At 43.4% G+C, this 26,368-nt stretch overlaps 1 protein-coding gene and 1 long non-coding RNA gene across 2 annotated transcripts in view, besides 2 other annotated features; one reads left to right on the top strand and one right to left on the bottom strand.

Annotated features, from left to right (window-relative positions):
• RHOXF1-AS1 (RHOXF1 antisense RNA 1) overlaps positions 1-26,368 on the bottom strand; it is a 110,620-nt gene that overhangs the window by 68,988 nt on the left and 15,264 nt on the right. The window lies entirely within an intron of this gene.
• On the top strand, positions 178-5,604 carry RHOXF2B (Rhox homeobox family member 2B). Its single transcript, NM_001099685.3, has 4 exons — positions 178-394; positions 580-991; positions 1,923-1,968; positions 5,023-5,604. Exons 1-4 carry the CDS (start codon positions 316-318, stop codon positions 5,350-5,352), a joined length of 867 nt encoding a protein of 288 aa, NP_001093155.1. The 5' UTR covers positions 178-315; the 3' UTR covers positions 5,353-5,604.
• Positions 25,261-25,760: an enhancer, noted in NCBI's record as "H3K4me1 hESC enhancer chrX:119186073-119186572 (GRCh37/hg19 assembly coordinates)". NCBI's record gives its function as "activates a minimal SCP1, AML or CMV promoter by ChIP-STARR-seq in naive and primed H9 embryonic stem cells {active_cell/tissue: H9 hESC(naive and primed)}" and the evidence as "EXISTENCE:reporter gene assay evidence [ECO:0000049][PMID:30033119]".
• Positions 25,761-26,262: an enhancer, noted in NCBI's record as "H3K4me1 hESC enhancer chrX:119185571-119186072 (GRCh37/hg19 assembly coordinates)". NCBI's record gives its function as "activates a minimal SCP1, AML or CMV promoter by ChIP-STARR-seq in naive H9 embryonic stem cells {active_cell/tissue: H9 hESC(naive)}" and the evidence as "EXISTENCE:reporter gene assay evidence [ECO:0000049][PMID:30033119]".

Genomic DNA, 26,368 nt, shown 5'->3' with positions numbered 1-26,368 from the left:
GCCCTACTCCCCCCTCCCCCACACCCTACTACACCACTTACCCCTCCCCCCCCACACCACCAACGCGTGCTCTCCCTCATCCGGGCAAGGCCAAGCCCCTGACGCATGCGCACCTCAGCAGGCCCAACCCACAGCAAATAGCGGGAAGCAGAAAAGCAAGAGAGGAGGTCTCTAAGTGGATACACTGTTGCTGAGTCTAGACACCAGAAGAACGTTGCAGGCGGCGACTCACAGTTCTAGCACTGCCTAGGAGAGCGTGGTGGCCCCAGCTCAGAATCTGCAGAAGTGCACAGCTCCATCCACACCACTCAGGGTATGGAGCCTCCGGACCAGTGTAGCCAGTATATGACCAGCTTGCTCAGCCCTGCAGTCGACGACGAGAAAGAACTACAGGGTCAGTACCTTGATGGGACACATGCTTTTGCGAACTCAGGAAACCAAGGTTCTCTGGGAGAGGCGAGTAGACTGGATGATACCCCTGCACTACCACTGCTCTCAGAGTGTAGCCCCTCACCACCTCCTTCCAACACCCTCAGGACCAATGCCTTGATCTTTCTCTTGGGGTTTCTACTTTTCCAGATATGAATGCTATGGTGCTGTCGCTTACTGAAGAGGTCAAAGAGGAGGAAGAGGATGCACAGCCTGAGCCTGAGCAAGGCACAGCAGCAGGAGAAAAGTTAAAGTCGGCAGGAGCCCAAGGCGGAGAAGAAAAAGATGGCGGCGGAGAAGAAAAAGATGGCGGCGGCGCCGGAGTTCCTGGCCACCTATGGGAAGGAAACCTCGAGGGCACCAGCGGCAGCGATGGCAACGTTGAGGACAGCGACCAGAGCGAGAAGGAACCTGGGCAGCAGTATTCGCGCCCACAGGGCGCCGTCGGGGGGCTGGAGCCTGGCAACGCGCAGCAGCCCAACGTCCACGCCTTCACCCCATTGCAGCTGCAGGAGCTGGAGTGCATTTTCCAACGCGAGCAGTTCCCCAGTGAGTTCCTGCGGTAAGCCCATTGCTCTGGTTGGCGCGCGGTTTGCAGGGAGGCGGCGTTTGGCTTTCCCGCAGTCCCTCTCCTACCCTCTCCCCTCCTGAACCAAAACCCATCTGGGGCCTGGTGTTGCTGCCGTCCCCTCCCCGCAGACCCCTGGCACCTAGTGGGTTCTGTAGTGGGGCTATGCCTATTAGGCATCATGCAGAATTTAAATGAACCAAGTTGGGCAACTTTGGGCTGAGGTCAGTTATGATAAATAACTCCTATCCCAGGCGAGGCAGAAATAAAGATGAGGAGATTAAGGTTCTGTACAGCAAGTGCAGGGTCGCATTCTGACCTTATTTAAAATTCTGAGAAGTCCGTCGTTCGTCTGGGTTTCCTTTGGTGTTAATTTTTCTAAGTTTCAAATAGTAAGTTAGAATGTCATTTATATTGATTAACGATTTTTTTTGTTATGGGGGGGTTATTTTTTTATTTTTTGGAGAAGGAGTCTCGCTGGGACACCCAGGCTGGAGTGCAATGGTGCGATCTCGGCTCACTGCAACCTCTGCCTCCCAGGTTCAAGAGATTATCCTACCTCAGCGTCCCAAGTAGCTGGGATTACAGGCGCCAGCCACCACGCCCGGCTAATTATTGAATTTTTAGTAGAGACGGGGTTTCACCATATTGGCCAGGCTGGTCTCGAACTCCTGACCTCAAGTGATCCTCCTGCCTCGGCCTCCCAAAGTGCTGGCATTACAGGCGTGAGCCACCGCCCTGATTTTTTTTTTTTTGGCATCTCCTTTATTTGTGGCATGAGAGAAATGTTCCTAATGTGAGGCTCAGCTGGGTGTTACAGAACAGCCTACTGGGTGTGGGGAGTTGGTAGAATAAAAAAATTAAACACAAGAATGAAACGACACCCACAACTCCAAATGCTGAACACGTGTGGTTTCTTCCATAGAAGGAGGCTGGCAAGAAGCATGAATGTGACTGAACTCGCAGTGCAGGTCAGTAAACCGAAAAAGCAATCGGGCAGGGGAGCCATTCTAAAACCCGCTTCAGGGCTTGGACACACTTTGACCCAGACATTGCCATCTTGGTGTTTTTGTGGCCTTTTTCATGTATAGGCAATGAGGTCTGAACTTTGGGATCTTTGTGGCTGGAAAATGCGGTAAGGAAAGCTCAGCTTGTGGAAATTTCCCATTACCAGAGGGAACATGACAATCCACGGAAAAAAAAATGAGTACTGAACTGTTTCCTTTATTCCTTGTGTATAAAATATATTATACACTTGAATAAATTACAAATATATAAATATATGTATTCCAAATTACAAATATATATAATATATAACAGTATAAATTAAATATAGCATAATATATAAGATTGAATTCCTAGCACTGGTATCCTTTAGGTAGCACTTCCATGTGGAGGCATCCTGGGGTTTTCTGACATGGGGATTATTCGAACTAATGCTCCAAAGAGCTCCATTAAACTAAACTATTTAATATATTTAAAACCAAGCATAAACTCTTTGGTTAAGAATTTATAAATGTTTAGGCATTGGGGTAAAGGAATAATTCCCAACCAGAACGTATGTTTCCTTAAGCTGAGACTGATGGCGGGGGATAGCATAAAGTTCAAGTGCCTGGCCCTCCTACTATTGTTTTTAAGTATTTGGTGAAGCCTTGTAGAGAGTGGCAGCTCTAAATTTTAATTTTCTGGAATACTTTGATATGGCAGGCTGAAAACATTGCTGACATAGTTGGTTTTGCATTATGGTAGAGATAGCGAAAAGGCTTGCAACCTTTGCAAGTTTATCTAGAAACCAAAACAAACTACAAGATCAATTTTTCATAAATTTCCACCAACCTAAGGATGGAAGTGTTAGGCAAGAATTGTATACAGTCACACTCATGGCTTGGGGAAGCTGCCCCCATTCAACTTTTGAAGCTACCAAATGCATCAGTGAATATTTTCTTGATCAATTTCTAGCATTTAAGAGATTTTTTGTTTCTTCCAGTTTGTTGTACTAACAGGAAGAGATGTGTTTTGTGGAATGTGTTGATAGTGGGGGATGGCTGTCAGGTCAGGCTAGACTCTTACCTGTGGTAATTTGAAATACCTTTTTATTTATTTGCTCAGGCTGTGATAATAAATTTGTAGGTCAGTGGATCCAAAGGAGTATTTGCAAAAAAGGAAGAAAAGAAAGAAAAATCGGGATGACCTTAACAGCTTTTCTGCAGAGCTCATGTGTGTGAGTGCAGTGAGGGAACTATGCTGCGGTTCTGTCAATGGTGGCATGCAGAAAAGCTGCCTGACAAAACGGGGCACTGAGTGTTGGCATCCTGTTGCCCTCCATTTTCTCAGGCAGGCAATGCCAATTTGGGGGAGATGAAATATTGACGTTTTGGTGAATTGCCTTTCCCCTCCCTGGGTTTACATAGCATTCACTCAATGCAGTTCTGAAGGCAAAAGGACCACTCTCACTCAGCAAATAAGGAAAAAGGCATGATGTTCTCATCTATTGCCAAACATTTCAGCATGAATATCTCCAAAAATTTTTAATAGATGTTTCCCCCCTCTGTTTTGTAAAGATAGTAAGGGCTGGTTTATGAAACCGATACTGAGACTAGGGACCTAATGTTGTCCCATAGCACATTTGGCCCACTTTTGGCATTGCTTATGTTTATGAACCTTTGACCACAGGTACATTGGAATTGTCTCTAAACAAGCACTATTACGGTAGGCTTAAAATTTAGACTATGTATTCATGAGGGAGAAGGACTCCAAATAGTAAGATGGGAGAAGGAAATGGGGCATCAAACAGGGAGAAGAGTCCCTTTGTCCCATAAAATTTGCAGTTTGGGAACTTCCAGAAGGATCAAAATACAATGGAAATGTCATTAACTAGAAGCTTGGGGGATAGTGTTGTTTAATTGACAGGTTTTATTTTTTGGTCTTTTAACAATTGGCAGGTGTTTGGGGAGTAGTGTTTTTTGATACCTCCTCCACATTACTACTGAACGTGTTCAGAGTTGCCTATTTGGACACTCCCGCTTTGGGAATGCTGATGAGATTGGGATCTTCTGCTCGAGTAGTGAGGCTAGATGGCTGAAGGCGTCCCATGGAACTGGGCAACCAAGTCTCTGTCCCATATCCCAGGACTATAGGGAGAACAAAGTGAGCTGACCTTGTCCTTAGCCCAGGAAGATTTGGAGGGAGGGATGAGTTGGAGCGTGCAGAATTAGCAATGCTTCCTTTCTCCCAAACTCTCAACTGGGCAAAGCTTTTTGAGAATTTTTGTGAATTTGGACAACATTTGTGTCCTCCTTCCACAAAGCTTCAAGCTGAAGTGTGAAGAGTGTCCAGGGCTTCAGATACCCTCATTTCCCAGCAAGACAATCCACAAACTCCCTGGGCCCCCTATAACGAGACTTGCCTTGCAATATACCATCTTTTTAATTCTCAAGGAGTTTCAGAAGATGAATGACCCCTTAGAATTTCTTGAAGGAAAGAAAACTTGTTTTAAAATACAATGTACTCTTACCGATTTTTTACTTTACACTGAAGATGGGCTTTTCAAAACGGGGGCCTCATCTTCTTGGTATGACTTTAAAAGGCACCCCCGCCTTTTTTTCCAAGCTCAGCTTCCCCCACGACCAGGGTGACAGTGGCCTAGTAAGTAGGAGTTGGTGGGCAGCTGGGTAGCTGATGGTCAAGTATCTGCAAGCAGACATGCCACACATAGCAATACCAGCAGGGATCGAGTCCCACTCATCAGCTACACCTGCACCCAAGAGTGGAAAAAGTAATATTACAGATAAAAGGAGAGAGACAAAGAAATAAGCCAGGCCAGAGCGTACGTAGCACATACTTGGAGCTCACTAGGGGAAAGGTGTGGTGGTCACCTTTCTAAGATATTTTAGTAGTAAGGAAGTAGCTTGTCTTGATACACCCGAAAAGGTTAAGGACATAGAGAGTTGCTTGTTGTGTTTTTTTCCATGATGAAATTAAATGCTCAGTATACTAAACCTGTTTCTTTTTTCCTCTGATTGAAGATTTGGTTTGAGAATAGAAGAGCCAAATGGAGGAGACATCAGAGGGCATTAATGGCAAGAAACATGCTGCCCTTCATGGCAGTGGGCCAGCCTGTCATGGTAACCGCAGCTGAGGCCATAACGGCACCCTTGTTCATCAGCGGGATGAGAGATGATTACTTCTGGGACCACAGCCATTCCAGCAGCCTGTGTTTCCCCATGCCACCCTTTCCTCCTCCGTCCTTGCCCCTTCCACTCATGCTTCTTCCACCTATGCCACCCGCTGGCCAGGCTGAATTTGGCCCATTCCCTTTTGTTATCGTGCCTTCTTTCACATTCCCCAATGTCTAAGGGATAGCCTCTGTGCCACTTTTTGCCAGAGTGTCTTTGAGCCAGATTCATATTTTGCATAGCACCCCATCAAAAGTAGTTCATCAAATGTCTATTAAACGTTTTAAAGAAAAGTACATCATTGACCCATTTTTAGGGCACTTGTAAAAATGTTTCTATAAATATGTGAAGGGTATGTACATTTGTTTTGTGTGTCACATGGGGTCAGTAAGTTCTCAATAAAAATTGTTAAGAAATGCCATTCAAACCGAATGTCACGGACTCTCGTCTCATGCAGTAATCTTGAGTCACCATCTGGGGGCTGTGCATGTCACAGAATTTTCCCATGTGCCCATGGCAGGCTTACACCGACCCAGACATTCTCTTCCACCCCCACCCCCAACACCCCATACTCATCTCCTCTCTGCCCCCATTGATACCAGGTACATGTGCAGGATGGGGTGGTGTGAGTCCCTAATGAGAGAATAGTGTGTTTCAAGTTACTGCCAGGGTGGAAAACAGCAAAACCAAAATGGTATCGGGAAGGAAGCCATGCCCACTCTTAAAAATTCATTAAGTTTTTTCTTGCTATGGAAGACTTCTTTAAAGTAATTTTCTTGTAAAAGTGTAAGTGTAAATAATGCCATGAAATTATACACTTATTTAATGGCTAAAATGGCAAATTTTTATATGGTTTACCACAACAAAAGAAAAGAAAAAATATACCAAAAAGTTTTTAAAAAGTGATCATGAACATTGTGGTCATCCTGTGAAGTGATTGCAATGCCTGCAGATAAGGAGTGATGGTTACAACAGTATTTTCTCTGAAAATTATTTGATGGCCAGTTTCATAATGATTATGTTTTCAGCCTGAAGGAAAATTCCATTTTCTTGGGTGAGCATGAACTTTCTGTCAGGCTGTCTGCTGCTTTTCATTCCCCACTTCTCTCTTCACAATTGTGGGTGTCAAGCTTCAGCCACGCAATTGCATTTGGTGTGAGGGTTTTGCAAGGAGAAGGAGGTTTATTCATACCCCTGAAGCCACAAGCCTTGGTGGGAATAAGGAAAGTCCATGAATTCACTATGCATTAATGCATGCCTCTTGGCCAAGTGGATTCTTTTTTCTTCTCCGATTGAGATTTTCCTTTTTTTTTTTTTTTTTTTTTTTTTGCTCTTGTTCTCATTGTATTGTGCTTTGTATAATTATTTACAGTAAGTCGCGCATGTCAGTGTACATTCCGTCTGGAAATTGTTTCCATTTGGTACATTTTGTGCCAGTCGGTCTATTCCTGCTCATTATTTTGTTTTTTCTACATTCAGACTGAAACATTTGGTAGCCTACAGATACTCAGAAATAGGCAAAGAAAGGTAAAAGGGGAGGAGGGGAGATTGAAGTCATACTTCCATTATCCCTCCCCGTGGTTATCAGATTCATAAAATTTTTACACCATCAAAAGACATTTTTAGCCATATATGTTTCCTTTATGTAGAAAATGAGATCTCCTATACTCAGTTGGCATTTGTTTTCATGTATCTGATAAGTACCTGTTAGAATTATAGGTCAAGATGTTGTCTAGCTCTGGTAACCTAGATCCTGAACTTCAAAGCAGAGTTCTTGGACCTTAAGAAATTCAAATTTGTAGAATTATAGTTAGGATGTCATTTACTGACCTTGAACAACACATTGTTTAGGTAGCATACAATGGGACTAGTTCAAGGGGCTGGGTGGAGAACAAGTTACAATTTTTTCTGATGGAGAACATTACTGGAGACAGTACCCTTTAAAACTTTCATTCCCTTTTTATTAGCAGCTAACGTCTTGTATGCCTTTACTATGTGACAAGCAATAAAATAATGTCCTTGGATGATTTTGTTTGATGCTCAAATGAATCCTAATAGTGAGGTTCTAGCATCTTCATTGAAAGAAGAGGAAACTTATCCATGGTGCAAAGCTAATCAGAGGAACAGGATCTGAAGCCAAATTTGTCTGCCTCCAGAGCCCATGCTTTGTCAAGTTTAATTCAGCGGTGGTGCACTGGGATGCCACAGTTAGGGCAATCTGGCTTCCAATCCCAGATGCACCACTTCCCAGCTGTTTCCCCCTGGGCATTTTACTTAAGCTCTGTAGTATCATTATTATTCTCTATAAGATGATAATATTATATCACAGAATTGATGAGAGGGATAAATAACATATGTAAGTGGCCTTCCACAATGCCCAGCCAGAGTAAGCACACAGAAATGTTTTCTACTATTATTCTATATTATCTCCTATCATCATATTATTATAACCTGTTGTTCCACCTTTCCTATGTGGTATAACAGAAAGAGATCTGATTAAAAATAAGGTGGTCTGGGTTCTTGCTGCAGCTCTACGCTGTCTTTGTTACCTTGAATGAGTCGCTTAACCTACTATATCTCTGTTGTCTCATGTGTTAGGCCATTCTTGTTTTGCTATAAGGAAATGCCTGAGGCTGAGTAATTTATAAAGAAAAGAGGTTTAGTTGGCTCACAGTTCTGCAGGCTTAACAGGAAGTGTGATGCTGGCATCTGCTTCTGGTGAGGACCTCAGGAAGCTTACAGTCATGGTGGAAGACAGACTGGGAGCAGGCATCTCACATGGTGAGAGCAGGAGCGAGAGAGTGGGTGTGGGAGGTGCCACACACTTTTAAACAACCAGATCTTGTGATAACTCGCTCACTATTGCAAGGACAGCATCAAGCCATGAGGTTTCCACCCCCATGACCCAAACACGTCCCAACAGGCCTCACCTCCAACATTGGGGAAAATAAGGATTACATTTCAACATGAGATTTGGGCAGAGACAAATATCCCAACCATATCATCTCACCTATGGAATCATGACAGTAATAGCATGACTCATGTATTTGGAGTAGGTTTAGTGGTAAAAGTTTATCAGGCATATTTCAAAAAATCAGAAAAAATAGGAATGAATGCCTTATGAAAAAAATCATTTCACGCATTGTTTTCTAGAGTGTGGGGAGTACCATTCATGTTTATATGCATGCTCGCCCCCATTTTCCCAGATCAACAATTACTGTTTGTCCTTTCTTGACAGAGAAAAGGAATCAAATGAAGTGAATAATATGGAGAGGAATTTTTTAAAGTGAGCAGAGTGGATATTTGTAAAGGCTTTTCCATGTTTTCGCTATGGTAGTGATAACTGTGGCTGTCTGTATAAAAAGGGTGTATCATTTAAACATGCCCTGAAATGGTTAATGATGAAATTATGTGATGTCTCGATGTGCTTCCAAATAATCCCAGGTTGGGTGCAGGGATGTTGGAGAAATCAGCAAGGCTACTGATGAAACAAGACTGGATATTAATAATTGTTGAATGTGGGTGGTGGCTATATGAGTGTTCATCTTATGTTTGTTTTATATATTTTGGACATTTCCTATAATTTTTAAAAAAATAGTAAGGGTCGAAAACCTAGCTGCTAACAGGGCCGGGAAGGTAACATAAATGAAGAAAACAAGCAGAGTGGGGACTGGTAAACTGGGAAAGGATATGTCTCCCCCAAAGGGAATGGCCACTACTCTGCTTCAGCCTAATTTTTCTGGTCAGGACTTTGGGGTCCAGATCTGGCAGATTTTCCAGTTTGTAAAGATTGGCCAGAAATAAGTGTTTACATGAAACCTTCTGATCCTTAGATCTGAGCAATCGATTCAAATATGTTTTATTTAAAATTACACTGGTCATCCGAAACAGATCTGCAGACCAGATATAGGATGCAGCTTCCAGTTTGCAACCTGTACTTGAGAAGGTAACTTTAAGCAAATTCAAAACCGTGGAGCAATAGAATATGATTGAAAGCAACTCTAAAGCCAGCAATCCTAGGATGCCATCATTCCACCTCATTTTTTTTCTCATTATAAGTCCTGTTCTCATGTGATAAAAGAAAAACTTCAGCCAAATTAAATTTAAAGGAGTTTAATTGAGCAATGGACGATTTGCAAATCGGGCAGCCCCCAGAATGACAGCAGATTCACAGAGACTCCAGTGCAGCCATGTGGTGGGAGAGTTATAGACAAAAAAGGGAAACTACATACAGAAATCAGAAGTGAGATAGAGAATGGCTGGATTGGTTACAGCTCGACGTTTGCCTTATTTGACATTTTCATTTTACCAATAATTTTTAAAACTCTCTTTATTTCCCAAAAATTACTTAAGACACATGAACTAAAAGGCATTACACTTTTTACTTTTCTGACAAAATATGTTATTTAAGCTTTTATTATTTTTAAACCAATTAGTGAAAGCTCTTTTATATATAAACATCAAACACATAATACATATAAATCCATAGACAGAAGTTAAAGGACTCATTTTCCAAGCCAGGAATTGAACCCTGAACCCAGGCTGCCATTGTGAAGAGAAAGCATGGCCACATGGTTACAAGGTCAAGCTCCCAAGGACATACAAGACAAGAGGGAAACCTTATCCAGTTTTTGTTTTGTTTTGTTTTTTGTTTTTTCCAGGGACCTGCAGCAAAGCTTATAAGTGATCAGTTTGCTTGGCTGTCTTGAACAGCGGGCTTACAGGTGTCCTAAGCCTGTATTCTATCCTAAGGTACCCCTCATTAATGACAGAAAATACGGAAAGACACACAAAGCATACCAAATTTGGTACAGCTTAAGACTAGCCTTACAAGTGCTTTTTCTGATTAATTTAAACTTTACAGGAGAGTAACAGTGATTTTTACCATTTATTCAACCTGTTTGCACAGAGAGAGAGAGAGAGAGGCCAGGAGTCTGACTGGTAAGAAATTGTTACCTGTTTGCCAGCATGCCAGGCTTCTGTGTTCCGTTTCCCTAAGTGGCCCTAGTGACCCACCTCGCTGCACCATAGACCTGGGGGGCCAAGCCGCAACACAAAGGAAAATTATCTTTTTCTGTTTGGGCCAGAGTAAAATATGTGTGACGAAACATAGACATCAGCTACTCTGCTTAGCACCCAATATTAAACTGGCAAGGCTTAAATTTGTCCTTAGATGGCTCCCGTCATCTTTAATCCAGCTTCTGACTAGGAATTTCAACACGTCCCTGGGCAAGATGGTCACCCTGAGTAATAGAAAAGATAAGAAAGGGAAAGGAGAGAGAGAAAAGCATTGCCTGTGGCAGGGTGGGGAAGGTGAAGAGCTCACAGAGGCCAGAGAAGGACCCACTCATTCATTGCAGTGACACTGAAAATGAAAAGTTCAGGGGACCACTTGCCAGTAGTGAAGGGATCTTTTCCAGCAGTTCCATCAGCTGTCAGGATTCCCCTTCTGGGGAGGAAAAAGCTCCCCATCTCCCACGGTCCTGCACATGCCTAATCCTGTCACCCATAGCCGTCAGCAAAAAGTGTAAGACCGATTAATCCAAAGAGAATAGCACTTAACATTCCATAGTGCCAAACCCGTCCTTAGCCAAAAGGGATTTTACCAAGAGCCCTCATTTTTAAATGTATTTCAATGTGTTGTTGTTCATTTGGAACGTTCCACTGTAAGTACAAGCGATTCTACTGCCTCAGCCTCCCGAGTAGCTGGGACTACAGGTGCATGCCACCACGCCCAGCTAATTTTTTGTATTTTTAGTAGAGATGGGGTTTCACTGTGTTTAGCCAGGATGGTCTCGGTCTCCTGACCTTGTGATTCACCTGCCTCGACCTCCCAAAGTACTGGGATTACAGGCTTGAGCCACCGCACCTGGCCTCTTGTTCTCTTATTTTCTCCCGAACATACAGAATCGCTCTCTCTGTTCTGAGCCAACTAAAGCTGGGGGTGGAGTGACATAGGTATTAACACCCCTGTGGTCACCACCACTATGACTGTGCTGGGTCAGACCTGAAGCCAGCACAGCACTGGGTCTCACCCAAGGCCTGCTGTAACCACTCCCTGGCTACTGTCTCTCTGTTTGCTTAAGACCCTGGGCTCTACAATGAGCAGGTGGCAAAGCCAGCCAGGCCTGTGTCCTTCCCTCCAGGTCAGTGAGTTCCCCCAGGCCCCAGGTGGGTCTAGAAGTATCATCCAGGAGTCAGGGACTAGAGTCAAAAACCTTCTAAGTCTACCTGGTGTTCTATTGTATTGCAGCTGAGCTGGCACTGAAACCATAAGACCTAGTCCTTCCTGCTTTTCCCTCCCCTTTCCAAAGGCAAAGGAGCCTCACTCCACAGCCACTGCCACCCCTGGCCACAAGGAGCACTGACAGACTACCATCAATGTTCCGTTAAGGCCCAAGGTCTCTTAAGTTAGCTTGTGGTGAATGCTGCCTGGTCTGGGACTCATCCTTCAGGGCAGTGGGCTCCCCTCTGGCCTGGGGCAGGTCCAGAAATGCTGTCAAGTCCTGGAATCTGGAACCTCAAGAACCTGCTTGGTGCTCTAGCCCCCGTGGTGGTGTTGGTACCTGAAGCCAGCAAGTCTCAGAGGCTCATGATGGCCCTCAATGTAGTGCCTGTGCATTGCTGTTGGTTATTCAGGGCCCAAGGGCTCTTCAGTTAGCGGGTGATGAATGCTGGCAGGATGGGGTCCTTTCCTTCAAGGCAGTGGGTTCCCTTCTGGCCCACAGTTTGTCTAGAAATGTCATTTGGGAACTAGGGCTGGAACAGGGGCCTGTTGACTCTGACTGGAGCCCTATCTTGCTGTGGCTGAGTTGGTATCCAAGATGCAAGACAAAGTCCTCCCAACTCTTCCCTCTCCTCTCCTCAAGCAGAAGGAAGGGCTCTCTTTTAGAGCCACAAGCTGTGCATCCTGGGGTTAGGGGAAAAGTGATGCCAGCATTCCCTTGGCTGTCCTAGCTAGTGTCTCAGCATGTTGTGTTCCCCGCCCCGCCACCCCCAATCCACTGTGTCTGGGCCTAGTTCAGCCCTAGGACTTACCTAAAAGTTGCAGTCCTTATGGCCTAGGCTGCCTTTCAAGTTTACTTAGAGACTGACAGCACTTTGGCCCTTCATGGTGAGGTTTGCAGGTACTCAAGTTCAGACTGCTGGGATCAGTGATTCCCCTCTGGCTAGGGCTGGTTTAAATGCTCCCTCTGTGAGTGGGCATCAACTGAGTTTGATCTGGTTTTCCTTTCTGCTGTAACAGGACATTGCTGAGTGCAATGCTTCACAATTGAATTGTGAAGCAAAAGAACTGTGTTCTCTCTTCCCCAGTGCCCAGAAACACTCTCCACACCATGCCATGGCTGCCAGGGTGGGGAAGGGGTAGCATTGGTGATTCAGGATTGTTTTCTATATCTCTTCAGTGCCTCTTTCAGTGATATGAAATTAAAACCAGGTACTGTAAGTGCTCACCTGATTTTTGGTTTTTAAGAAGGTGTTTTTTTCTGTGTAGGTAGTTGTTAACTTGGTGTCCTTGCACAGAGTGGCAGGAGGACGATCAGCGGAGCTTTCTATTCTGCCATCTTCGTCTGCCTCCTTTCCTAGCCTCATTTCCCCCTGCTTCCTCCTCTGCCCCCTGGGTCCTGAGCACATGGGTCTTGAGAACACACCAAGCTCCTTCCCACCTTGGGGCCTTTGCACTGGCTGTTCTCTCTGCCTGGAATGCTCTTCCTACAGGTTTTTGCATGGCTGCCTCCTTTACTGCATTCATGATTCTGCTCAAATGCCCTCTCTAAGCACCTGAGCTAAAATCCCTAACCCCGCAGTCTCTCTACTTTTTTGTTTGGTTATTGGCTCTCTTGTTTAATCTCTGTCTTCCTACCAGAGGGCAGGATTCAGAATTTAAACAGTGCCCTAGCACATAATGAGAGCTCAGTTATCTTCTGTTAAAGATAAAAATGAAGCCACACTTTAGGTGTACCCGAAGGCCAACCACTCATAACCAGGTAACCAAAATTTAATTCTTCCCAATTTCCCCAAAACACTGTCTCTAATCATAAATATCAAACATAACCTTTACATCTTTGTCAGCATGATTCAGTGAAATTAAACCAATCAGCTATAGGCAAATCAGTTTAAACAGCTCTGTTTACCTTAAAAAGAATGATAACGTAAAACAGCCAACCACAAAAAAAAATCAAAATATTCTCCTTTATGCTTTATAAAGTGTGCTATGACTGCCATAAGGTGAGCTTTCTACCACTTTGTTTGAAGTCTCCTGGGTCATGAGCTGTACTTTCTCTTACTGTATAACAATAAACTTTAAAATGTTTCCTAACTTGATCTGATTCTCATTTTGACACTTCCAATAATCTTGAGAAATGCTCCTGAGCACTTTGGGTCTGGTATTCTTAGAGAGGGCAAACATTCTCATTTTTCAAAGGGGAAGTTGAGGCCCAGAGAGAGACAGTGACTGCCTGAAGTCATAAAGTTCCAGCACTCTCTTTCCTTACTCCCTTGTTCTCCTGGTCTTGGGGACATCAGACATCTTTAAACATTTGGTCTCACCATAGAAACTTTGAGATCCAGTGCATTAGGGTTCCCTAGAGGGACAGAACAAATAGGATATAGATATAGATATATATATATATATGTATATGTAGGAGATATAGATATATATATGCATATGTAGGATATATATATGTATATGTAGGATATATATATGTATATATATACAGAACTTATATATATATATACAGAATATATATATATATATACAGAACTAATAGGATATATATATATCCTCCATATATATATATCCTCCATATATATATATCCTCCATATATATATATCCTCCATATATATATATCCTCCATATATATATATCCTCCATATATATATCCTCCATATATATATATATCCTCCATATATATATATATATATATATCCTCCATATATATATATATATCCTCCATGTATATATATATGGAGTTAATTAAGCATTAACTTACATGATCACGAGGTCCTACAGTAGGCTGTCTGCAAGCTTGAGGAGCAAAGAGATCCGGTCTGAGTCTCAAAACTGAAGAACTTGGGAGTCCGATGTTCAAGGGCAGGAAGTGTCCAGCATGGGAGAAAGAGGTAGGCTGGGAGGCTAGGCCAGTCTCTCCTTTTCACATTTTTCTGCCTGCTTCATATTCACTGGCAGCTGATTAGATTGTGCCCACCAGATTAAGGGTGGATTTGCCCTGTGCAGCCCACTGACTCAAATGTTAATCTCTTTTGGCAACACCCTCAGAGAACACCTAGGATCAATATTTTGTATCCTTCTATCTAATCAAGTTGACACTCAGTATTAACTGTCATACCCAGAGTGGCTGTTACTTCCCAAAAATATTCAGTCTGTAATTGATAAAGTGGGGTTTTTATCCTGGTATGTCAGACTTGTGGCTGAGACTTTCTGACACTTGTGAGGCTGGAAGGGAAAGAGGCAGTGGATAAAGTGGGCCTTGGCTTGTTCTCATAGGTTGCAATTAACATCTGAAGCACTTGCTTTCAACCTGAAGAACTTCATTATTTCTTGTGAGGTGGATCTACTAACAACAAATCCTCCCATTTTTATTTAACTGGGAATGTCTTTGCCTTCATTTCTGAAAGGTAGCTTTGCTGGATGTAGGATTCTTGGTTGATAGTTTTTTCTTTAAGCATTTTGAGTATTTAATCTTACTGCCTCCTGGCCTTCATTGTTTCTGCTGAGAAGTCAACTACCAATCTTACTGGGGTAAGTGATGAGACATTTTTCTCTTGCCACTTTCAAGATTTTCTCCTTGATCTTAGCCGGTTTTACTATGATGTAATCTGTTTGTGGATTCTTTACATATATCCTTCTTAGAATTCACTGAGCTTCCTGAGTGTGTAGGTTATTGTTTTTAAAATAAATTTGGGAAATTTTCTGCCATTATTTCTTTGACTATTTTTTCTGCTCCTCTCTATCTCTTCCTTTCATCTCCTCTCTATCTCTTCCTTTCTTCTAGTAGATCCCACTTAGGTTTGTGTGGCTGATGGTGTCCTACATTTGTCTGAAGCTCTATTTATTTTTCTTCACTCTTTCTTCTCTCTAGTCTTCATCTTGCATAATCACTATCAATCCTGTTTCAAATCTGCTAATTCTTTCTTCTGCCAGTTTAAATGTGCTATTGAACCTGCTAGTGATTTTTTCATGTCAGTTATTGTACTTTTCAGATTCAGAATTTCCATTTGGTTCTTTTAAAATAATTTCTATCTCTTTAATGATATTTTCTACTGGATGCAACATTGTTATCATACCTTTATTTTCTGAATCATGCTTTCTTTTAGTTCAGTAAACATATTATTTTTTTTCTCTGTAGAGATGGAGGTCTTGCTATGCTGACCAGGCTGGTCTCAAACTCCTGGCCTCAGGCAATCCTCCCGCTTCAGCTTTCCAAAGTGCTGGGATTACAGGTATGAGCCACCACACCTGGCCTGCAAACATATTTATAATGGGTATTTTGAAGTCTTTCTCTGTTAAATCCATCATGTGGTTGCTCTCACAGGCAGTTGGTGTTGTCTGCTTTTTTTCTGCTGTATGGGGCATACTTTCCTGTTTCTTTGCAGGTCTGTATTTGTCTGTTCTCACATTGTTATAAGGAAATAGCCGAGAGTGGGTAATTTATAAAGGAAAGAGGTTTAATTGACTCACAGTTCAGCATGGCTGGGGAGGCCTCAGGAAACATACAATCATGGCAGAAGGTGAAGGGGAAGCAAGGCACCTTCTTCACAAGGCAGCAGGAAGGAGAAGTGCAAGCAGGAGAAATGCTAGACGCTTATAAAACCATCAGATCATGTGGGACTCACTCACTATCACGAGGACAGCATGGGGGAAACCGCCCCCATGATCCAATTACCTCCACCTGGTCCCATCCTTGACACATGGGGATTATGGGGATTAAGGGGATTACAATTCAAGATGAGATTTTGGGTGGAGACATAGACAAACCATATCACATGCCTCATAAACTTTTTGCTGGAAATTGAAATCATTTCTGAGACATGGTCCCACTCTGTCACCCAGGCTGGAGTGCAGTGGTGCAATCATGGCTCACTGCAGCCTCGACCTCCTAGGTTCAAGTGATCCTTCCACCTCATCCTCCTGAGTAGCTGGGACTATCAGCGTGCACCATTCCACCTGGCTAATTTTTTTTTATTACTTTTGTAGAGATGGGGGGTCTCTCTGTATTGCCCAGGCTGTTCTTGATCTCCTGGGCTCAAGTGATTCTTCCACCTTGGCCTCTCAAAGTGCTGGGATTACAGGTGTGAAGCATTATGCTTGGCCACAAAATTTTTGATAATATGTTGTAGCAACTGCCCCCAACCCTGGCCTCTGGGACTTGTTATTTGCTGGTATATTTTTTTTAGTGATTGGCTGGATTATTTTAATGAAGCTTATTCCTTCTCCTCATAGTCTTAAGCCTCTGATGTTGCTCTTCAGGAAGACATGACTTTGGGTGTGTACACCGTCACTCTAGGATGGCAGTGGTGTTAGTAGGGCTCTCTGTCTTTCCCTTACCATGCCCAACTATTAAACTCCACTAATTGCCTGCTGATCATTCTATTGTTTTCAGCAATGCTCTAGGACATAAATTGTTCTACAAACTAATTCAATTAAATTGTGGTTTATTTGAAGGAATAGTTTTTGAGGTCCACGTCTGATATTTGTTCTGATACCAGGAGTGCTCTTACCAGCCATCTTATTTCCTGGTTTTCTCCTGAAAACTATCCAGCTTACAGGCCATGCTTTATCTTCATTAGATCCACAAATCTCAACTGCCTTGTATGACAACGTCCACTGTTCTTGAGAGCACTCTTAGCTTTGAACTTTACACTCTGTTGCAAATGAAGTCAATCCCTTTGGGAAGAGATTAGGAGCTACCTGTTTTGTAGCCTGTTCCTCCTCCAAGGCAAAATCTTTGAGCAAGAGCTCTAGAGACAAGGTGGGGACGGTGGCAAGCTTCTGCCTGAATGGCAACCCCTTTCTATGGGCTGAGGCCTTGGCAGAGTGGGGTGCAGCAGCCTAAGGTGCTCTCGGCTTGCCTCTTCAGCATGTAACCACCACCTCATGAGCGAGGCAAGGAAAACTTGAGCCGCGGTTTCCTCAGTGTGTTGCATCTAAGGTAGAGCCTCCATTAAATAACTGGGGGACAGAGTCGGCAGATTAAATGAGCCACCATCACTCAGCTGTACTCACCTGATACTTAGCCTCAGAAACAAGTAGCTGGTGTCAGTATGAATGATGCTGAAGTGCTGCTCCTCTTGGGAAGAAAGTCCTCTGGCTGGGAGCCAGAGGGGAGAGGGAGCCCTATGCTCTTGTCTGCAGCAGTCTGAAGTAGAATCTCTGCCTTACTGATCTGGGAGGGGAAAAGGAAGAAGCTGTAGTGATTCAAATACCACAGACTTGCTTTTCTTATTGAATTTTTGTAGGTTCTCTTAGAAAGACGTTTCTTCATTTGCTGTTTTCCCTTAGGACCATTTCCAGGGGCTTTAAGTTGTTGTTTTAAAAATAATATTTACCACTTTCACTTGGGAGTGCATCAGCAGAGTTCCTCAAGCTGTCATGCTGGAAGTTGAACTCCGTGTTTGGTACTTTTTTCATTTGCACAGTGATCTTGTTTTTTCTATGCCTAGACAAGGTTATGAAGTGGTATTTTTTTTCTCACTTCGTCAAGATCACAGAGTGATTTTGTCTGGCAGTAGTGCTCTGTGAGACTGTTTATGTTCAACAGGAAAACATCAAGACCTAGTTGTGCGTACCAGGCCAGTGCTGGCTGTCAGGGACTGCGATATGGTTTGGATTTGTGTCCCTACCCAAATCTGATGTCGAATTGGAGGAGGGGCCTGATGGGAGGTGATTATATCATGGGGGAGGATTTCCCCATTGCTGTTCTCATGACAGTGAGTGAGTTCTCATAATATCTGATGGTTTAAAAGTGTGTGGCACTTTCCCCCTTAATTTTTTGCTCTCCTGTCACCATGAAAAGATATGCCTTGCTTCCCCTTCACCTTTTGCCATGATTGTAAGTTTCCTGAAGCCTCCCAGTCATGCTTCCCGTTAAGCCTGTGGAACTGTGAGTGAATTAAACCTTTTTTTCTTTATAAATTACCCAGTCTCAGGTAGTTCTTTATAGTATGAGAACGGACTAGTACAGACTGCTTATCACCTTCTCACAGTGTAGAACAATCACTTCGTAATTATTCTGTCTAAGGGGCAAGGAAGCTTGGGCATTTATCCACCAACTCCCAATAATCATTGGTTGAGGGCTGCTCCTGGGGGCATTTATTCCCCAGCCTTCCCTGTTCAGGCAGAGGGGCTTCAGACCCCAGAGGAAGCATCAAGCTGTTGCAAATTGGGCCAAGTACATATGGCTGAGATCTAGTAGGACACAGACAACATCTGCTATAGATGACCTGCCAAAGATCCTGAAAGGGCCAGGATTTGAGCTCAGTGTTATCTGATGACCATGTCTTAGCCACCACTTGATTTCGTGAATGGAGAGGTTTGAAAAGAACAGCAGAACTTTGCTAGAGGGGTTGTCAAGATTACTTGCCTGAACAGTTTCTCATGTATATATTACACAGACTGTTGGAGATACCTGCTCTGTTCCCAGCTCCTGGCTAGACGATGGGGTCACAAAGATGACCCAGGCATGTTTTCTGCTCTTATGGTACAATCTGTCTGTTGAGGGTGGGATATCTGAAGGGACAAGCCCACACTTCGTCCCCAGTCCCACCTGTGTTGGCTAGGGAGTCCTTCCTGGAGGATGTGTTGCGTAAACAATGGAGAGAATTTAGGGAACATCGAGCCTACTCTTTTCACTTTACAGATGAAGGAACACAGGCCCACAGCAAGGGAGTGGTCTGCAAAAGAGAACATATAGACTGCACCCTGGAGAAGGCCAGCTTCTAAGTGGCCATGCCCTTCCTTAGCTCCCCAGTCACCCAGATACAGGAAGTGCTCACTATATCAGATTCAGCTCCTCAGCACTTACCAAGTCCATCCTGCCCAGAATGCTTTCCTTCAAAGGCCTGCAGGCTCAAGGCTCTGTCTTAAGCCTGAGCCTTTTTACCTCTAAAGAAAGTAATCAACCTCCTCCAAAGGCATTCAGTGTCCTGGTATGGGAGAATATGTGTGTATACCAGGGTCTGGGAATTTTGAGAAACCATCTTAAGGTTTGGTGAGTTGCTTTTTCTCCTTATGTGAATTTATACAGTCCTCTATGGAGTTCTGGAGGGAAAATGAACCAAACAAAATATTTTTTTTGAGACAGGGTCTCACTCTATCTCTTAGGCTGGGGTGCAGTGGCACAATCTTGGCTCACTGTAGCCTTGACCTCACAGGCTCAGGTGATCCTTCCACCTCAGCCTCCCGAGTAGCTCGGACTACAGGCATGCAGCACCACACTCACCTAGTTTCTGTATTCTTTGTAGAGATAGGATTTTGCCATGTTGCCCAGGTTGATCTCAAACTCCTGGGCTCAAGTGATCCTCTTGCCTCTGCCTCCCAAAGTGCTGGGATTACAGGTGTGTGCTACTGCACCCAGCCGAAGATTTTTTTTAAAGTGAAAACAAAGTATGTTTTTATCTATTTCCAAACTATAGCATGAATTTCCCCAAGAAACTTTTAGCAGATGCTCTCCTCCCTTTTGCAAATATACTAAAACTATTTTATGAAAACAGTATTGGGAATATGGACCCAAAACACGGTTATCCTGATGTAGAGATTTGGCCAATGGTACATTTGAATTCCACTAAAATGAACTCTGTTATACTGACCTGCTTTTGACTATATCCTTTATACAGCACTGTAGAGGGCTTTCTGCAGGCCCAGAGCAATGGAGTGGCCTACGTAAGAGAACACACATAGCTCAGCTTAGAAGAGGCCAGCCGCTGAATGGCCATGCCCTCCCCTGGGCCAGAGATCATTCAATTAAGAGAAACACACACCAGCCCAAGTTCAGCTCTTCAGCACCTACCACATTATCTAGCCCAGAACTATTTCACTTAAAGGGTTGAAGATTCAAGTCCCTTCCCCAATCATGGCACTGGGCCATTTTACCTCTAGGAATAGTAAACAACCTCCCCTAAAGGCATTCAGTATCTTGGTGTCCATTCTTACAGGCCCTTGAGGGAGTGATACAACTTGTACCCTCCTCACAACTCTCATTTCTCCCAATCTTCTTGCAAATCTGTGCCTGAAGCTGGAAGCACAACACATGAACAATAACTAGCTTGGTGCTTGGTGTTGAATTAACTTTTTTAAGAAAGCAGGCTAACAGGTTGGAAATTGTTCTGTCAATATTTTAGAATCTAGTAATACAAAAGACCCCTTCTAAAAGCACGTTCTGTTGTGTTACACAAGCAAGGGGACAAAGATGATTTCAGAGGTAGCATTCAGGTGTGAGCATCATAATTGATACATTTGGACCCCTCTAAAGCACAGGCCACAGACAAAACTAGGGCCTCTATGAGAACTGCAGAGTTGGATTATGATTTTTTGTTTCAAGCCGAAGAATCTTGGTTTAGGCAAAATAATGGAGGGAAGGCAGAGAACAAGGAAGAGTCTCTGTCCATTCCCTTTGAACGAGAGAAACAAAAAAATTAAACAAAGGATGTTTTAAAATCAAAAGGTGAAAGAGTCTGTGGAGACATAGGAGGAAAGAAATCCATGGCAATGGCTGAGCCTGGAGCTGTTGTTGAGGTGTGGGGAGCTTGATGATAAACAGCGGCTAGCAGCTAGGTACTGCCTCTGGAAGGTAGCCAGTGGGGCACAAGGAGGTAGCTCTGGCCAGCTGGGCTTTACCATTAAAAAAAAAAAGGAAAAATGGAACTCTGGTCCCTATATAAATCAGTCCCTAACATCTCCTTCCATAGCCCTCATCACGAGGCCAAGCAGTAAGACCAATTTCTCTTTACCTCTGATCCCTATCCTCCCTTTAACTCATCTGGTCACATTAAGGGGTTTCAGTGGGATTGAAATTATTTATAAGGAAGAAAGGAAAGTAAAGACTGAGTGGAGGTTTCACAATCTGATTTTCCCTGGCCCAGGTCCCCAACCCCAGCACCTCAAGGAGCACAAAATATGATTCTATTCATTTTAAGCACAAAGAATTTCCAAGGATTTCTCAGAAATTCCACAGGCCTACCCGCCACATCAAAAAGGTCAACTCCAAAAGTGAGTCCGACAGAAATATTGTAAGATGCTAAATCGTCTCTTCTATTTATTTAACATACAGACTTAGATTTAGGAGCCTCTTCTTGGCTCAACCCGTTAGGTGAACACATTCTATAGTATCAAAATTTTGCATAACTCTCCACTAAGTAAATGTTTAGTCCATTCATTCTGAACTGGAAGGAAGGAGACTAGCTGCCAGCTGTGATCCTAGTCAACATGCAGGATGTGATGAAATGAGGAAGTCTTCTTCATGGTCATCGAGTTACTGTCCAAGAGTAGCAACCACAGCCAACGACAGAGATCAAATTTCATTCATCTCACTCTGCTCCTTCTCACCATTCTTTCCCCTATGAACCATAGGAAAGACTCAATCCATAGGCAAAATAAAAATGATACTCTGAATAACTCTTTTAACACCCTCCTGATATTTAGGCACCATGCCCAAACTGTCTTGTTCCCTCTCACAATTGGTAGCATTCTAATATTGTACATCAATATCTCAGTTAAATAGAATAACACTAGGAGGGAACTTGAATTAATCATGATTGCATACTTATTGCAGGAAAAGATAAATAACCAAGAAAGCCACTTTTCCTCTGCTGAATCTTTTTCTTTGCTTAGCTGTTTTTTCCATATGTGTTGCTTTATATAACTATTTAGAGAAAGTCTCAGGGATCAGCACACATTCAATCTAATAGCCTAAGTGTTTTTCAGCTAACGCCATGGCAATAAAGTTTGCTCTTTGGAGTGATGGCTCTTAGACACTGTATTAGTCTGTTCTCACACTGCTATGAAGAAATGCCCAAGCCCGGGTAATTTATAAAGGAAGGAGGTTTAATTGACTCACTGTTCTGCATGGCTGGGGAGGCCTCAGGAAACTTACAATCGTGGCAGAAGGCAAAGGAGAAGCAGGCACTTTCTTCACAGGGCAGCAAGATGGAGGAAGTGCAAGCAGGGGAAATGCCAGATGTTTATAAAACCATCAGATCTTGCGAGACTCATTCACAATCATGAGGACGGAATGGGGGAAACCACCCCCGTGATCCAGTTACCTCCACCTGGTCCTGCCCTTGACACATTGGGATTATGGGGATTACAATTCAAGATAAGATTTTGGATGGGGACACAGCCAAACCATATTAGACACTACAAACTCACAGTGAATCTCTGGAATATACCATGCTCATTTCTGACTATCTTTGCTTGTGCTGTTCCTATACTCCTTTCCTCATCTAGCCAAATCATTCATGTCTGTTTTCCTCTCACATTTTCTGCCTCCTTTCACCCATCTTCTTCTTTTTCCTTCTGTTTCTCAACCTCACCTGCCCAATTGTCTCCCCTTCCAGACCCCCTGTAGACCTGAAGTCTCAATCGCTAATTAAGAGGCAACAGTCATGACTTATGGCCTCTCACTGAAACATAACTGTTTTGTGGGTGTAATTCTTATGTTCCCTACCTGCATGGTAAGCACTTGCATTTTCAGACTGGGTCTCCTACTCTTCTTGTTTCCTTCACGGAAGCTAGCAGTGGTGCTTTATGTGTAATTTTTAAAAGGGCAATGATTATCGTAACAGCTAAAATTTTTGGAAGGCTTAATGTGTGACAAGTACTGTGTGTGAATTAAGCTTATTGCTATTTCACAAATGAAGAAATAAAGACAGAGAGAGATTAAATAATCTGTCCAAATCACAGCTGACAAGTGGCTATAATGGAATTCATTGACCAAACATCCCATTCTGTTCAGTAGACTCAAATGTGAGGGGAAAATAGACATACATAATCTCACATTTTTTTTCAACAGAAAATAAGGAAATAAGCTGTGCACAGTGGCTCATGCCTGTAATCCCAGCACTTTGGGAGGCTGAGGTGGGGGGATTGCTTGAGGCCAAGAGTTTGAGACCAGCCTGGGCAACATAGTGAGACCCCATCTCTAGGAAAAAAATAGCTGGGTGTGGTGGCATGCACCTGTATGTAGTCCCAGCTCTTTGGGAGGCTGAGATAGGAGGATTGCTTGAGCCCAGGAGTTCAAAGCTGCAGTGAGCTATGATCAGACCGCTGCACTCCAGCCTGGGTAACAGAGCAGGACCCCATCTCTAAATTAGTTAATTAAAATAAAAAGAAAATGAGGAAATAAACAATGACATGGGATTCTTGTTCAATCTCATTTCTTTAAAACAGTCCATTAACCAGACTAAATCTAACCCTTGGGTATTATGCTGAATTAAGGATTCATTTTAATATATAAGTACACAATATTTCTGGATACAAATTAAACAGAATAGACTGCTGGGTATGTACTAGATATTTTTCTTTCATTCTTCTATTTGCTCATTAGATTCCCTTTTCTGTGCTGCCATTTTTTTCTTTATAATCATTAACCCATCCATTTATTGTCTGTTAGGAAGTAAGGCAACATATATGCAATGAATATAATAAGAAAGGAAAACTGAAAAAATGTTGTTTTAGAAAATAACGTTAATAGTGTCACTTGAACCCAGAAGTTCGAGGCTGTAATAAGCTATGATCGCGCTCCTGCACTCCAGCATGGGCAACAGAGTGAGATCCTCTCTCTTAAAAAAAAAAAAAAGTTAACTGTGGATTAAGACATCTTTTTCAAAAGATAAAGCCATTTTCCTTTGCCCGGGTGAATGCTAAGCAGTTTGTGAACTCACAGTATCACTGGGATTTGGAAGTCTCACGTGTTAAAAAGTAAGACATGATCAAAGCTTGAATACAGCCATAGGTCTGCTTGTTTGAATCCCATCATTCCAAGATATGCATATTTTGTTTAGTGTTTCAGTATATTGATATGGTTTATGTAACAGTATATATACAACTACTTTGTGGAGTATTTCCTGCAATTTCATGTACTCGCATTCAGAAGCAATCAGAAGCCATTCTTCTTTTTTCAAAACAAGGAAAACAATATTTCTTCCATCATTCTACATATATATTTGGCACCTGTTAATGTCATATATGCCAACAGCTACTTCAGACATCTCTTTTTGATTGACTAGTATTTCATTTTTCAGTCATCGTCAGTCTTAAAGATTAATGTTTTGTCTTTCTAATAAATATGTAGTTAAGTGAATTCCATACTTATTTTTAGGTCGACCGTGTGTTTTCTTGCTTATCTTTCTGTGTTAATTGAAATTCTGTTAAACCTAGAAAATTACTTGGAGTATGTGTTCAGATGACGTGGGGCAGGCAAGCCCCCAGACTGGGGCTTAGCCTGGGAGAGTTCTTGGCTTTGCCCAGGAAAGAATTCAAGGGTGACTTGGTGGTATTAAACAGCAATCTTTTACTTAACTGGAGCTGTTCCTTGTGAAGCAGGGCTAACTCATTGACATAGTGCCCAGAGCCACATTTGTGGGCTGTTGGCAATTGTATTTATATCCACTTATGGTCCCCTACCCACCTTAAATTTGGAGAGCCTCATGTAAAATCAGAAACAAGCAGGGGACTAGATTCCCTTATTGTCCTCTTTATGCCCATATTGTTTCATAATTATAAAATGTTAGACAGGAACATAGGGTCCTTGGATGGAAGGATACCACATAAATATATTCAGATAGATGAAAGGCAGAACTCTTTGTTACTTACAGCTCCAAATGAGAGAAGGCTGCCAGGTAGAGCCACACCTGAAGTTGTAACGCAGGATAGAGCTATACCTGTAGGAGGCAGTCCAGGTATGGCAAGGGAGGTTTCATGGGCTCCCTGTGGATTTGTTAATTTGAAACTTAGGCAAAAGGGCTGTCCCTAGTTGTCTGGTACCTATCCCTGTGGTGATTAGGGCAGGTACATAGTTGCCAGGAATGTGAGAGCCCCATAAGGGAAATGGTTGAGATGTGGATTTAATCAGCTGCTCAAGAAGAGGAACTGACTAGCCTCTAGCCAGGGCCTCAAAATTGGGTCAAGATGGCACTGAAGAAAACAAAACCCACAACTGGTGGAGCCAAGATGGCCGAATAGGAACAGCTCCAGTCTACAGCTCCCAGCGTGAGCGACGCAGAAGATGGGTGATTTCTGCATTCCCAACTGAGGTACTGGTTTCATCTCACTGGAGAGTGTCAGACAGTGGGTACAGGACAGTGGGTGCAGCGCACCGAGTATGAGCCGAAGCAGGGTGAGGCATCGTCGCCTCACCCGGGAAGCGCAAGGGGTCGGGGAATTCCCTTTCCTAGTCAAAGAAAGGGGTGACAGATGGCACCTGGAAAATCAGGTCACTCCCACCCTAATACTGCGCTTTTCCAATGGTCTTAGCAAACAGCACACCAGGAGATTATGTCCCACGCCTGACTCGGAGGGTCCTACGCCCACGGAGCCTCGCTCATTGCTAGCACAGCAGTCTGAGATCAAACTGCAAGGCGGCAGCGAGGCTGGGGGAGGGGCGCCTGCCATTGCTGAGGCTCGAGTAGGTAAACAAAGCGGCCGGGAAGCTCGAACTGGGTGGATCCCACCGCAGCTCAAGGAGGCCCACCTGCCTCTGTAGACTCCACCTCTGGGGGCAGGGCATAGCCAAACAGAAGGCAGCAGAAACCTCTGCAGACTTAAATGTCGCTGTCTGACAGCTTTGAAGAGAGTAGTGGTTCTCCCAGCATGCAGCTTGAGATCGGAGAACGGACAGACTGCCTCCTCAAGTGGGTCCCTGACCCCCGAGTAGCCTAACTGGGAGGCACCCCCCAGTAGGGGCAGACTGACACCTCACACGGCCGGGTACTCCTCTGAGATGAAACTTCCAGAGGAATTATCAGGCAGCAACATTTTCTGTTCACCAATATCCGCTGTTCTGGAGCCTCTGCTGCTGATACCCAGGCAAACAGGGTCTGGAGTGGACATCCAGCAAACTCCAAAAGACCTGCAGCTGAGGGTCCTGACTGTTAGAAGGAAAACCAACAAACAGAAAGGACATCCACACCAAAACCCCATCTGTACGTCACCATCATCAAAGACCAAAGGTAGATAAA

This window comes from Homo sapiens, chromosome X, assembly GCF_000001405.40.
Source record: "Homo sapiens chromosome X, GRCh38.p14 Primary Assembly".
NCBI lineage: Eukaryota > Metazoa > Chordata > Mammalia > Primates > Hominidae > Homo > Homo sapiens.
This window is presented reverse-complemented; position numbering and strand designations above follow the sequence as displayed.